We start from the raw sequence: 15,636 nt of genomic DNA on the forward strand, positions 1-15,636 counted from the left end.
TATCCCGGCCAGATGTCACCATGGAAAAGCCAGTATCATCATTTGCCTGAAGATTAGTTCTGAAACTCTGGGTCCTGGGGTTGCAAAAGGCCACAGCATGTCATGCTCTGCCCACACATTCTGATGATGCATGCTTTGTGCCTCTGTGCTCCTCTTAGGCTAGACTATGAGAGCACTCATTTCTGCCATCCTTCCCTGTAGTCTTTTGAGATAGTAATTCAGATATAGAATAAGCAACACAAGATCGAGCTCACTGCTAACTCAAGCATCAGCAATGCTCAAGAGTTTTAGCATTGTTCAACTCAATAATGAATCTTGACTTGCTGGATCTTGCATTCTTGAGACTTGCGGAGGAGAGAAGCGCCCCTTCCCCAGAGACATAGGGGCAGGGAGCGATGCACAGTGGACAAAGCAGCAGTTCAAGTGAATGCATTGTCCATAGCAGTACTGTAGAGAGAGGAAGGAAGAAACATGTAAAACAGCCCTCTGCCCTGGGCAAAGCAGACAGGAGATCACCATCCCTACCTCAGGACTCATGACTCTCACAGGAAACAAGAAGACAACGCCATCTGCTAACAATGGAGATGATATGGCTGATATAGGAAGCCTGAGAAGTAAACAGATTTACCAGCAGTAGAAGAAAGAGCATTAAGATTGTCAGCAGAAAGTAAGGCGTTGTGACTTCAGATCTCAACAGTTGAGTATTTCTTCCTTTGGACAGTGTTATAGTTTAACTGTACCCATCCCCCAACCAAAAAAATATGTTGAAGTCCCAACCCCCAATTTTCATGAATGTGACCTTATCTGGAAACAGGGTCTCTGCAGATATAATCAAGTTAAGATATTCCAACATGACTGGTATCCTTATAAGGAAAGGCTAATTTAGAGAGAGGCACAGGAAGATGGCCATGTGAAGATGGAGACAGACATAGGATTGAAGCTATCATAAGCCAAGGAGTGCCTGGGGCTACTAGAGCTAGAGGAGGTAACCATGGTTTCTCCCCTCAAGGACTTGGAGAGTGCATGGCCATGCCGGCACCTTGATTTTGGACCTTCAGCCTTCAGCATTTTAAGACAATACATTTCTGGTAGTTTCTGATGGTTATTTTTATTTCTGTGGGTTCAGCGGTAACATTTTCTTCTTCATTTCTAATTGTGTTTATTTGGATCTTCTTTCTTTTCTTCTTTATTAGTCTAGCTAGTGGCCTATCTTATTTTTTTTTTCAGAAAACCAACTCCAGGATTCACTAATCTTTTGAATGAGTTTTTATGTCTTGATTTCCTTCAGTTCAGCTCTGATTTTGATTGTTTGTTGTCTAGATGAGCACTGTGGGGCTCAGAGAGATTTGCCCTTTAAACACAGGCTATATATGATGCATACCTGAGCTAGGACTTTGGGGTTGATTAGGTCCTGTTTCTTCTAGCTTTGGGGTTGATTTGTTCCTGTTTCTCTAATTCTTTCCATTGTGATGGTAACCTATTAATTTGAGGTCTTCCTAACTTTTTGATGTGAACATTTAGTGCTATGCCTCTTCACACTCCCTTAGCTGTGTCCCAGAAATTCTGGTATGTTGTATCTTTGTTCTCATTAGTTTCAACGCACTTCTCGATTTCTGCCTTAATTTCATTGTTTACACAAAAGTCACCCAGGAGCATGTTGTTCGATTTCCATGTAGTTACATGGTTTTTTGAGTGATTTTCTTAGTCTTGACTTCTATGTCTATTGCACTGTGACATGAAAGTGTGCTTGGTATGGTTTTGGTTCTTTTGCAGCTTCTGAGGATTGTTTTATGTCTAATTATGTGGTCAATTTTAAAGTATGTACCATGTGACAATGAGAAGAATATATGTCCTGTAGTTTTTTGGTGGAGAGTTCTGTAAATGTATATCAGATTCATTTGGTTCAATGTTGAATTCAGGTCCTGAATATCTTTGTTAATTTTGTGCCTCAATGATCTGTCTAATACTGTCAGTAGAGTGTTAAAGTCTCACATTATTATTGTGTGTGAGTCCAAGACTAATTGAAGGTCTCTAAAAACTTATGAATCTGGGTGCTACTGTGTTGTGTGCATATATATTTAGGATAGTTATGTCATCTTGTTGAACTGAATCCTTTACCATTATGTAATGCCTGTCTTTGTCTTTTTGATCTTTGTTGGTTTGAAGTCAGTTTTGTCTGAAATTAAAATGGCAAACCCTGCCTTTTTCTCTTTTCCATTTGCTTGGTAGATTTTTTTCCATCCCTTTATTTTGAGCCTATGGGTGTCACTTCATGTGACACAGGTCTCTTGAAGATAGCACACTATTGAGTCTTGCCTCTTTCTCCACCTTGCCACTCTGTGCCCTTTAAGGGGAGCATTTAGCCTGTTTACATTCAAGATTAGTATTGATATGCATGGATTTGATCCTATCATTATGTTGTTAGCTGGTTATTATGTTGGCTTGCTTGTGTGGTTGCTTTATGGTGACACTGGCTGCGTGTTTAAGGGTGGTTTTGTATTAGCTGGTAGCAGTCTTTCCTTTCTATATTTAGTGCTCCTTTCAAGATCTCTTGTAAGGCAAGTTTGGTGGTTAACAAAGTCACTCAACATTTGCTTATCTGAAGAGAATCTTATTTCTCCTTCACTTAGGAAGCTAAGTTTAGCCGGATATGAAATTCTTGGTTGAAGACTTTTTCTTTATTTTTAATTTAAGAATGCTGAATATAGGCCCCCAATCTCTTCTGGCTTGTAGGATTTCAGCTGAGAGGTCCACTGTTAGCCTGATGGTGTTCCATTTGTAGGTGACCTGTCTTTTCTCTCTAGCTGCCATTAACATTCTTTCTTTCATTTCGACCATGGAAAATCTGATGACTGTGTGACTTGGGGATGATCTTCTTCTGTAGAATCTTGCAGGCATTCTCTGTATTTCCTAAATTTGACTTTTGGCCTCTCTAGCAAAGTTGGGGAAGTTTTCATGGATGATATTTGAAATATGTTTTCCAATTTGTTTGCTTTCTTCCCCTCCCTCTCAGGGATGCCGAGGATTCATAGATTTGGTGTCTTTACCTCTTTACATAATCCCACAATTCTCAAAGGTTTTGTTCATTCCTTTTATTCTTTTTTCTTTGACTGTCTTATTTCACAGAACCAGTCTTCAAGCTCTGAGATTCTTTCCTCAGCTTGGTTTATTCTGCTGTTAATACTTGTGATTGCATTGTAAAATCCTTGTATTGTGTTATTCAGCTCTGTCAGACCTGTGAAGTTCTTTTTTATATGGGCTATTCCTTCCTTCAGCTTCTGTATCACTTTATTATAATCCTTATTTTCCTTGGATTGCATTTTGCTGTCCTTCTAAATCTCTAACTTCATTCCTATCCATATTCTCACTTATAAATGAGAGGTAAATGAAGAGAACTTATGAACACAAAGAAGGAAACAAAGAACACTGGGGTCTACTTGAGGGTAGAGGCGGGGAGGAGGGAGAAGAGAAGAAAATATAACTATTGGGTACTGGACTTAACTCCTGGGTAATAAAATAATCTGTACAACAAAACCCCATGACATGGGTTTACCTTTGTAACAAACCTTCACATATCCTGCAGAACCGAAAAGTTAAAAATTAAATAAATATTTTTTAAAAAAAGAGAATAAATTTCTATTGTTTTGAGCTACCCTGTTTGTGGTACTTTGTTTTAGCAACCTAGGAAACAAGCACAGGCACTGTCCAAAATGTCACTGAAGGTATGGCTTGATGAAACAATTCATTGGTGGCTGTCTGCTGGCTGCCTGGAAGTTTGGGCAGAACAGTGCCCAGTATATGAGCACGCAGTAAAAGTTAGTGACTGCTCTACTGGGCGTTTCATCGGTTTGTCCAATAACTATTGGAAACATGCAGAGGGACTACCTAAATGCATAAGCAAATTGTCTCATACACAATTTAATCACAGTTAATCGGAATGCAAAAATTTTGCTGACTAAGGTTAGCAGCTGCTATACCCTCCCAACTTCTCCTGCTGAGACAATTTTCTTTCCTCAACACAAAAATGTTGCAAAAAACTGAAAAGCATGCAAAACAAAGAAGTGAGTTTTGTTCATCATTATATGTAAGCAGCTGCTAGCTGAGTGGTGGCCTTCTAGAGGATCCAAGTCCTGCTAATGTTCTGGAAGTCACAAGATTAGATGGTGATGGATGTAGCTTGAATGTGCCAGTAAAGATGAGGAAAGAGGATGTTGGAAGGTGTCAGTAATTCAAGAACCACAGGCCCAAATAATCACTCATTTATTCAGTCAACAAACATGTATTAACTCCCTACTACATCTCAGACATTGTATCGGACTTTGGGGAGTTCACAGTAGCTCCCCTTATTTGTGGAGTACTGACTATGTGCCAGACACTAATACTTATCATCTTCGTTGTCCCACTTTATTCTCACAATGTCCAGGTCAGGTAGTCAGTGATCTGCAGTATGCAGATGAGGAAGCCAAGAACCAGTAAGACAAATTTATGCCCCAAGGGCCAAGCCTCAGATCGTCTAACTCCAAAGCTTCTACTGTCTATCTCAAAGCTTCACACCACATATTACTGGCTATTCTGTGGAGAGTGGGTCAGAGAGGGGCTAGTGCAGCATTTCAGATGAGGAAGGCTTGAACAAGCACAGAAGTGGAGGAATAAGAAGAAAGACTCAGGTCTGGGAGCCACTCTAAAAGTGGTCTCTGCAGGACCTGGGGTTGAGTGGGTCTGGAAAGAGAGGGAAGGAGTTGGCTGAGATTTGCAGGTGTCTGGCTCAGATGAGAGGTGAAACATGGAGCCTGCTCTGGGCTGAGTTTTGTCTCCCAAAACTTATGTTAAGGTCCCAGCCCCCAGTACTCCAGAATGTAACTATACTCAAAAACAGGGTCTTCAAGTGGGTAATTAGGTTAAAATGAGGTCATTGGAGTGGGCTTTAATCCAATATGACTGCTGTCCTTATAAGAATAGGAAATTAGGCAACAGGCATGGACAGAGGGAAGACCATGTTTAGAAGATATAGGGAGAAGATGACATCTACAAGCCAAGGAGAGAGGCCTCAGGAGACACCAATCCTGCTGACAGCTTCCTTTTGGACTTTCAGCCTCCAGAAGTTTGGGCAAATAAATGTCTGCTGTTTAAGCACCCAGGCTGTGATACTTTGTCATGGCATCCCTAGAAAACTAATACAGAGCCCATACCCAAGATTGAAAAACAAAGAAATGAACATGAATGGGGTAGGCTGAGCTGAAAGTACTGCAAGGAGCATCCAGCTGGAAGTGAACATCGCATCTGTGGACTAAGTCGGAGCTGAGACCAGATCTGTGAATGGTCCTCAGTAGGCGGGCATGGTGTGAGTCAGGGGAGTTAAAATTTTGGAATAGAAAAAAAAATGTGATTACATATACACCATGGACTACTACTCAGCTATAAAAAGGAACAAAATAATGTATTTTGCATCAACTTGGAAGGAGCTGGAGATCATTATTCCAAGGGGAGTAATTCAAGAATGGAAAACCAAATATCGTGTGTTCTTACTTGTAAGTGGGAGCTAAGCTATGAGGATGCAAAGGCATAAGAATGATACAATGGTCTTTTGGGACTTGTGGGAAAGGTTGGCAGGGGAGTGGGGGATAAAAGACTATATACAGGGTACGGTGTACACTGTTCAGGTGAAGGGTGCACTACAATCTCAGAAATTACCACTAAATAACTTATCCATGTAACCAAAAACCACCTGTGCCCCAGAAATTATTGGAATAGAAAACTAAGAAAAAACAACAAAAAAACTTCAGGATAGATGGGAATCCAAGTAACCAAAAACCACCTGTGCCCCAGAAATTATTGAAATAGAAAACTAAGAAAAAACAACAAAAAAACTTCAGAATAGATGGGAATCCAAGTAACCAAAAACCACCTGTGCCCCAGAAATTATTGAAATAGAAAACTAAGAAAAAAACAACAAAAAAAATTTGGTATAGATGGGAATCCAAGAAAAGCGTGTGGAATGAGAAGAGTGGGCAGAAGGAAGGGATTGAGGACAGAATTCCCAGGGATAAGCAAAGCTTAAAGACCAGCGGAAGGAAAAGAGTCAAGGACAGGGCAGACGCTCAAGCCACAGCGTGCACTACCTAAGTATGGTACAGCATAAACTTTCTGTAAAAGAAACTTCGAGGCAACAATGTCATCCTTCCAGTAAGATAGTTAAGGTAATGGCTGGAAATCGGTCCTCAAATAATGTAACTAGACACTGTGGGACTGGGGAGAACCACAGCAGCGCCGCATGGTGGGATGCAAAGGGCAGAGAAGATGAGAATTGCCTGAAGATGGGAGTTTAAGACTGCCGTCCTCAACAAAGTCAGCCAATAATGGAGGGCAACTGATGGGACAGGGACTTACCCTCCACTCCTCCTGTTTCTGCTGAGAGAAAATTGCCACTGCATGGCCACCAAAGCAGGAAGACCTACGCCTTCACCACCCCATTGTAGCCTCCTTCCGCAACAAGTCCAACTCTCAAATTTTATTTTGCTCACTTGGTTGAAAACTCAAGAGAGAAGTCTGAGAGCATCATTTAATGGGTCCTTAAAATCACCATGTGAAAGGGGAGCATTCTTGGACACGGCAGAACTAAGGGTGTTTGTTTTTAGCTTGTTGCGGTTTCTTTGTTTTTGTCTTACTTAAGAGAAAAGGCATCCGAACATTTTCTTTTTTTTTTTTTTTTTTTTTGAGACGGAGTCTCGCTGTGTCACCCAGGCTGGAGTGCAGTGGCGCGATCTCGGCTTACTGCAAGCTCCGCCTCCCGGGTTCACACCATTCTCCTGCCTCAGCCTCCCGAGTAGCTGGGACTACAGGCGCCCACCACCACGCCCGGCTAATTTTTTCTATTTTTAGTAGAGACGGGGTTTCACAGTGTTAGCCAGGATGGTCTCGATCTCCTGACCTCGTGATCCGCCCGCCTCGGCCTCCCAAAGTGCTGGGATTACAGGCGTGAGCCACCGCGCCTGGCCCCCCGAACATTTTTCTGAAATCATGAGTCATCATTAGAAAGGAAGAAATTTGAGGTTATGGTGAAAAGAAAGATAATGGATAAGGCAGAAATATTGTCCAAAAAACGAAAATTACTCCAGAACACAGCAGAAAGAATCAGCTACAGACCCCGAGTGACAAGAAGAGGTAAGTTTGAGGGCTTACTGGGAAAAACCCTTTAGAACCTAACATTTCTCTGTAAAGTAGGAGGAAAGATAAACCCATTGAGAATCCCTGGGAGAGGCTGGGAGAGGACTGGAGTGGGGGTAGTTGCAAGGGGAGAGGACAGGAACTGGGGTGCTTAGACCATTACGGAGCTGACCTGAGGGCCTCACTGAAGACAGAGGCTCCACCTTTTCTGTTGCCCTTTCTACCACAGGACGATTCTCACTAGCACCCCAGTGTTTAAGAGACACAGAAGCCAAGGGGTGGCCCCCCCTGGGGCTGGATTTGGTGGGAGTCAGTGCAGGCGGGCAGGAGTGGAAGGAGAACTAAAGGAGGAAGACCTGAGACAAGGGCATCTGGCAAAGAACAGATGGGATGCAAAGCCTGTGTCCCAATTAGGCCAGGAAGGATAAATGTCCCTGTGTTCAGGCTCAGCAGGGGGTGGAAGCAGAACCTAGTGTGGTTAGAGACCAGAATCCATCCTGGATGGAGGATCAATCAGAGAAGCGAATCAGGGTCAACTAGGAGTGGAAATAGTATCTCAGGGCTCAGCAGTAGCAGAAAGTGCCCTAACAAAACACAGGAGAGGTATGAAGACAACACTTCATATGCAATAACTCAGGGTCCTCAGGCAGGGCTCTTGGTTTTCTATCCTAGGAGAGAGGGTCTTCCCAATGTAGGCCAGGGAAGGAGTGTGGGGGAGGGCGGTGGAAATGCTGCTTTCCTGAGAAATGCAGGCTATTCATTGTCATGCAAATTGTGCTGCCCTTGTGGCCTGAGTGGTAGAGCCACCGTATTGACCTCTGAATTACTTTCAGTGTCTGCAGTTATCAGATCTTAGAAATGAACAGCAGAATGTTTTAGGAATCGGAAACATTAATGCCTTTGTAAATCAAATAACAATGTTATGCCTGAGAAGACTGTGATAAACACTGTTTTAGCTCTTCCATTGCCTGGATGGCAACACATGACTCTCCAATGGAAAAGGAGAATTCACAGATGCTGACAACCAGGACGCTGACCGATACTGACCACCTGATCAGCTGGTGGTCACTCAGTCACATGTAAGAAGGCAGCTAGTGTTTGTAACTCATACTATGACCTGAATTGTTTTTCCAGGATATTCTTAAAGTGTCACTTTGGGAAAAGAGCTTTTTACTTTGCTTCTGGCAAATGCTAATTACAAAGCTTTTATTGGGATAGGGATTCTTGATTTTTAAGTGGAAACTTCCTTGGCCAGTCAGAATCAACAAACATATGGAAAGAACAACTTGAAGCTGCACAGATGAAAGTTTCAGGGCCAAAAGGGGACCATCCACATAGAATCAACTGATTCGGTTGAAGTCAGTTCAACAGAAATGATGTTAATGGGAGAATTCTAGTTAGTGCTTCAGTTTGGGAAAACAATTCATGTTTCCCTTTGGAAGCAATAGAGTCATTTAGTTTACTTGAGAAAGTTAATGACGAGGACATCCTTTTTTTCCTACAGGACAGTCTTTTAAAGGCAATCTCTGATGATTAGGTTGACTGTATTATTTGGCAAAATACTTGCATTGAATATATGTACACGTATCCATGGTTTTGCATATATGATGAGTCTAAAGCAGTGGTTCTCAACTAGAGTTAATTCCCCCCTCCCAGGGGGTACTGAAAAATTGCTGAAAACATTTTTTGTTGTTACAACTGGGCAGAGGAGGATGCTACTGGCATATAATGACTATAGGTTGAAAATGCTGCTAGACATCCTACTATGCCAAGGACAAGACCCACCCCCCAGTCCCACAACTAAGACAATTTGGCCCAAAACATCACTAGTGCTGAGGTTGAGAAACTCTGGTCTACATAATTAGCTGATATGTAGCAAAAGTCTACTAACTCTCAAGATTTCACTTTTGTACAAACTATCAAATAAATGCTTGGGGCAATGGATTACACATGGTACATATACATTGTCTTTGTAGGTGTATGTGTATGTGCGTGTGTGTGTGAGACCACACTCACACATGAATGCACAGATATACAGAGGGCTGCATTTCAGCTGACACACATCAGGGCTTTGTACACAGCGAACCTCAATTTGGATGGTTGTCACCATCTTCTGATTGCTCAGTAAGCAAGTGACCAAGTTCTGGCCCAGAACTGAAAGAAGCCTTCTAAGGGTTTCTGGTTTCTTTAAAAATAAATGCATGGATGAAAAGGGGAGAGGGATGTGGCTCTTCTTCGAGTGGATGTTGCCACATGTGGATGCAATACCTGAATTTGCAGCAACAATTTTGCAACCACAAGCAGAGGTGGCCTGAGGGCCCATCTGCCAGACTGTGGATGGCAGAGACTGCAGTGAATACTCGCCTCCTTATTAACTGAGCCACTGAATGAATAAACCCTGAAGATGCCTACTACTAACTTCTAAGTATGTGAGTTGATACATTTTTTACATTTTTAATTGTCATACTTTTTGGAGTTACCTATAGACAAACACATTCTTTTATACAGTTGCTGAAAATTACATGCCATGTTAGTAATTTCCATTTCTAGACACATAAAATGGAAGTTAAGAAGTAATGCACAGGAGTCTACACATGACAAGCTGTCAAATTTTCTAGACATTAAACAACAATATAAAAAAAAACAGCAAGTTTCTATAAGTGGTCATATCAACATTAGCCATATTATCATGGTTAGAGTGTTGCGAATATCACTTCTCTTCCAAATACTAAATAGCCATATGATATCCTGTTTATCATTAGTCCTGAACAAGCGACACTTTGATTTCTTTAGAAGATGAAGAATTCATTTTTATTTAGAGTGTTGTAGTTTGCTTTTGAGCACCAAATCACCAGGAATCAAAGACAAATGAGGTGAGAAAGAGGGAGTGACGGAAGGCTTACCATTGAGCCATTTGGAGTTGTACTGCGCCGTGCGGAGAGGAGGTAAAATGCCTAGGCTTCGGTAAATGGCAGGATCACGTCCTGGAAAATCCATGGCTGTAGCAGCATAGAGCTCCCCACCAGCTGTGAGGAGCGCTGTGGAATTGTGCTGGGGACTGTAGGGACAGCGGGCCATGCCACTGATCTGATCATGGATCTCAGTCAGGTTGCTCAACTGTGGGGGAGGATGAGAGGGAAAGCAGTTATCTCTGCACAAGCCCCTTTAGTGATGCTTATGGTCACACCCACCATCATCACAGTGACGCTTGTGCAACAGCCTCTCGGGGGCCCATGGGGCAAGATGACCAACTTTTACATTCCAACTGATGTAAAGAGCCTACTCTGCTCATGGTAAGACAGTCCATCAATCAGTTTCTTTCTCATCACTTTAGAGTTACTGAACCTTGTACCACTGAATACTCACAAAATAAGAAATAAGATCATTGTATATATGCCTTTGATTTATAATGCACAAGTATTGCATACTTTTCCACTTTAATATAAAAACCAGTGTCAATATTTACAGAAATAGGATCACAATAAAGAATTATGTATAATTGCCTGGGCACAGTGGCTCACGCCTATAATCCCAGCACTTTGGGAGGCTGAAGCGGGCAGATCACGAGGTCAGGAGATCAAGACCATCCTGGCTAACACGGTGAAACCCCATCTCTACTAAAAAAAAAAAAAAAAAAAAAAAAAAAAAATTAGCCACGCATGGTGGCATGCACCTGTAGTCCCAGCTACTCGGGAGGCTGAGGCAGGAGAATCGCTTGAACCCAGGAGGCGGATGTTGCAGCGAGCCAAAATCGTGCCGCTGCATTCCAGCCTGGGAGGCAGAGCGAGACTCTGTCTCAAAAAAAAAAAAAAAAAATTATGTATAATTCTATCAATATAAGTGAAGCAAAATATAATGAATAGCCCCAAAAAATGTGTTCACAAGTAAGGATGTGTGGATATTCAACACTATGTGGCCCACATTTCCAACACTTTCTTTCTTTTTTTTCAGTTTTCAGAGAGATAGCTAAGCGTCTTGGAGTCATTTCGTATGAATCCAGCTTCCCAAATGCTGGATTCCCAACCAGCCATTGAATGAGAAAAGCTCTTGGGTACTGGTGGAATCTTTGCTCAATTTGGTTCTTGGTTCTCGCCTGAGAGGTATTGGAGCAGAAGGGTCAGGCCCGGTAGGTACAGGCACACTGCTTGCTCTGCTATGAGATGTGTACCTGGGTAAGTTCCTTCAGCTCTTTATGTCTCAGGTTCTTCTTTCATAAAAGGGGGCCCCAAAGAGTAGCGATCTTGTGGGGCAGATGTTGAGGACTGAACCATGGCACTGGTGAAAGCGCCCAGGGCAGGGTGCAGCACCTAGAGAGCTCCCTGAGTTTCACACCCCTTATCATCCAACTCCTCCCTTTATTTCCAATAACTGAATGCTAACCTGAAATCATGAACAGTAAAAGCAGATGGTCAATTAAGGTCTTGAGGAAAGTTGTGCAACCAGGGAATGAACATATTTCTTCATGATATTCCCAGAGGAAGGTTGCATTTATACCCTGAATTAGGAAGATTCCACGTGTGTTCTACTGACCCTGCCATGCTACTGCTATGGTGTGTGCAGCTGAAAATTACTCTGTCAATGATTGCCAGGTTAAAGACAAGAAAGAGGATCAGTTATAACTGGACTTTGCCTAGGGTGCAATTTCTTAGTTTGCTTATTTTTTTTTACATACTTCTTATCCAATTTGTAGGCTAATTTTTTCTTCCCTTGGATTGTGATTTTAGACCATTTTAATAATTTTAAATAAATATAAATAACAGTAACAGTATCTCTACCATAAAGCAGAATAAGACAAAAAAGAATATGTTTAGGATTAATGTTTAAAGTCACTGGTGGAAAAAAATGCTGGTTGGAATAGTTTAGAAACATATTTAAGTTTAATTATACAAGTTATAATTATTTCCAGTTATTTATCTAATTGATGGTCCTGATTAGAAATATATCAATAAATCAAATATTTATTCAATTTGACAAAAAGTGCTTTAGAATTGAACAGCAACACCTTGGTGTATAGAAATTCATTTAAAACTAGTATTTTTACACAATGTTTTGCCTCTTCTGATATTAAATTCTTTTGAGGCACAAAAAGAAGCCATACCGAGCGGTTGGTGCAGACAGGCGTGAATGCATTGGTCCCACAGGTGAATAACCGGTCGCCACCCACCAGAAGCACCCGGATGTAGTTCTGACATTCCTCCTGAGGGAAAATAAATAAATTAATTAAAAATATATATATATATGTATAATGATAAACATGCTAACAAAGTCTGAGCACAAGAAGAATGGTGAGAAGGAATACATTTTATCTAATAAATATGTAAGCCATTAATAAAATGTAAACCATTAAAACAACAAATAAACCTTTCAGATATTGACCAAAAAATAACAACAGAGCTATTAAACAATTTGATTTTTATCAAATAAATTTAATTGCTGTATCTGCACCTTGTTTGATAAAAAATATGAAGATAAATACATGTTCAATTAAATTCTCAAAGCATGCATCTAATTTTGACAGAAATGATTTCATTTTGAATTGTATCTGATAGTAGCACAAATGCTAAATGGCCTTGGACGGGTATTAGGAAAATAAATAAAAGGAACCTATTAGATGTCGCTCGGGAAGCAGTGCCTTGGAAAACTTCCTCAGACTTTGAGAAAATGCTGCAAGCGCTTTTTGATCAGAAGGTCACATGAGAAACTCTGTACACAAACTGGAGCAAATTTTACTTTATGGGATCCAACTGCATATTTTAAATACAAAGCAAGTATCTATATGAATTTTTTTTTTTTTTTTTGAGACGGAGTCTCGCTCTGTCGCCCAGGCTGGAGTGCCGTGGTGCAAATTCGGCTCACTGCAAGCTCTGCCTCCCAGGTTCATGCCATTCTCCTGCCTCAGCCTCCCGAGTAGCTGGGACTACAGGTGCCCGCCACCACGCCCGGCCAATTTTTTGTATTTTTAGTAGAGACAGGGTTTCACCATGTTAGTCAGGATGGTCTTGATCTCTTGACCTCGTGATCTACCTGCCTCGGCCTCCCAAAGTGCTGGGATTACAGGCGTGAGCCGCCACGCCCGGCCTGTATAGGCATTTTTAATTCATTGATTGAAAAGTGAAAATATGCTTAATGAGGACAAGATGTTCGAAACATTTGGGACAAAACCCTAGGCTGAGGGATACTCCAAGAATGGAGTACTTTTTGTGGTTGCAAAGTGTTCTTAGAAAACCCTGGGTATGGTCATAGCAGTGATGGACATGTGAGCTGGAGAGCTCCTCACTTATTCAGCAAGCATTCACTGAGTAGCTCCTCTTTGGTAGCCACTGGGTTAGAAGTCTCAATCCAGGCTCCTGGCAGAAAAATACAGGATCATGACAATTACCACAGAGCTGTCCATGCACTGTAATGAGGACACACAGAGGAATAGCATATTACGTAGCTCCAAAGGAACAGGGAAGGGAAGAGGTGTAGAGAGGCTTCCTGAAGGAGCTGACAACTAAGTGTTAAATAAAGTGTAAGGTTTAGTGAGGCTTCCTGGAGGGGGTGCTTGTAGGACACCTGTTGGACTTTACTGAGCAAAGGAGGGAAAAGACACTCCACTCAAGAGGAGCAGACTGTGTCAAAGTGTCGTGGCTAGAGAAAGCATGGCGCTCTCATTGTGTACAGAGGAGCTCACATAGAAGCCGAGGAGCCTGAAACAGGCCAAGTGTGCCCAGGTAGTGAGTTCACATGTTACTCTGAATGTGAAAGGAGCCATTACATGTTTTGACTGCGTGAAGTATTGATGAGCTCTCATGTTTTATCACTGAAGAAGCACTCAGAAACCAATGTGCAGGATAAGCTGAAGAGAGAAGCCTGGAGTCAGGAAGCCAAGGAGGAAGTCACTTCCATAACTCAGGCTCTTGTCATTTCATGCCTAGACCAAGGTAGTAGGTGTGAAAGGACAAAGCCAGAATAGTGAGTCAATTGCACGCCATGGCGAATGAATGACGCACGAGGCATGAAAGATGCTGCATGATAACATGATGATTTGAATCACATCATGCTGGAAATCAGGGGAATCTGGATGTAATGGTATAGCTCATCTTCTCTTCAACCAAATGGACCCCCACTCTAGATGAAAGTGTTAATTTCCCATAACCCAGTCTACTGCATAGCATCGAGACAGCGGAAATGCATAGTGCTAATTTCTGTATTTTCTTTACTAGAGACAGGGTTCTGTCATGCTGCCCAGGCTGGTCTCGAACTCCTGGGCTCAAATGATCCTCCCACCTTGGCCTCTCAAAGTGCTGGGATTACAGGTGCGAGCACCACTCCTGGCTCAGATTGGCTTCTAAATGTAAAGTGAAATACCAAGGGTGGATTATCCTCCTAACATTATTCCTAACAGTAATAGTAACCACTTATCATTGGAAGCTGAACTGAGGAAGATGGAAAACAACCACAAAGACCTAAGTAGACTTCAGAAGAATTACCAAATGCTCGTAAACAGTAGACAGTGAATCTGGTAACTGAGAAAGGTACACCAGAGGTGGGAGGCTTGTCTTGTTTTGTTCTCTTTTGTTTTTATTCCTGGGGAAGGGTCAGGAGAGTTCTAAAGGGAAAGAACAAAACAAAAGACTTCAAAGAACCACACAGTACTTCCTTCCCAGGCTGAAGAGAACACAGGAGGGCCAGGGAAGAAACTAGAGGGGTACGGGAGCCTATAAAGGCAGGCAGAGTGAGGATAAAAGAAGGAAGCCGATGCCTGTCAGAGGAGACCCACAAAGACATCTTCCAGAACACAGGGCTGAGCAAGCTGATGGACTTAATGGATGACACAGACATATTAATGACACCATCATAAGGACTGGGATGGAAAATTACAAACAGAATAGAAGGGTGAGGTTTTGTTTGTTTTTTGATGCTGCTTTTAGAACTCTTTTAAAAGCAAGGCAAGATGTAATAAAACTTTTTCCTTTAAAAAAAAAAAAAAAGCAAGAGCTTGCCCCAAGGTAAACCACAAACAACATGGGCAAGGGTAATTTGTTCCAGGAGAATCATCTGGATTGAAAAGATGTGATTTCACAGCAGAGTTCTACAGCCCTGGTGAAGAGAAAGCAAGGGCCTCCAGTCAATTATGGAAAGGAGAATAACCAAGATATCAAATATGGTGTTTACGTTAATTTCCCAAAGGAAGAACAAAGTGCAAATAAGACTGTAGGTTGCTTTCTTTTGTTTTTGTTTTTGTTTTTTGAGACAAGGGTTCACTCTGTTGCCCAGGCTGGAGTGCAGTGGCACAATCGTGGTTCACTGCAGCCTCGACCACTTGGGCTCAAGTGATCCTCTCACCTCAGTCTCCCAAGTAGCTCGGATTACACGTGTATGCCACCACCCCTGGCTATTTTTTTCTTTTTTTTTTTTTTTTTTTTTTGTAGGGTCAAGGACTCATTATGTTGCCCAGGCTGGTCTCGAATTCCTGGGTTCAAGGGATCC

The 15,636-nt window shown here is 41.9% G+C and overlaps 1 protein-coding gene across 11 annotated transcripts in view, besides 1 other annotated feature; it reads right to left on the reverse strand.

Moving 5' to 3' along the window:
- The window catches only part of SEMA5A (semaphorin 5A), a 511,043-nt gene that overhangs the window by 179,574 nt on the left and 315,833 nt on the right, over nt 1-15,636 (reverse strand). For all 11 annotated transcript variants that reach the window (XM_011514158.3, NM_003966.3, XM_011514157.3 and 8 more), the window contains 2 exons: nt 12,263-12,361; nt 10,068-10,281 (listed from right to left, as the gene is read on the reverse strand). In XM_011514158.3, the coding sequence (XP_011512460.1) occupies nt 10,068-10,281; nt 12,263-12,361 (313 nt within the window). The remainder of the gene's footprint in view (nt 1-10,067; nt 10,282-12,262; nt 12,362-15,636) is intronic.
- Nucleotides 7,647-8,267: an enhancer, noted in NCBI's record as "OCT4-NANOG-H3K4me1 hESC enhancer chr5:9222365-9222985 (GRCh37/hg19 assembly coordinates)". NCBI's record gives its function as "activates a minimal SCP1, AML or CMV promoter by ChIP-STARR-seq in primed H9 embryonic stem cells {active_cell/tissue: H9 hESC(primed)}" and the evidence as "EXISTENCE:reporter gene assay evidence [ECO:0000049][PMID:30033119]".

Source organism: Homo sapiens, chromosome 5 (genome assembly GCF_000001405.40).
Source record: "Homo sapiens chromosome 5, GRCh38.p14 Primary Assembly".
Lineage (NCBI taxonomy): Eukaryota > Metazoa > Chordata > Mammalia > Primates > Hominidae > Homo > Homo sapiens.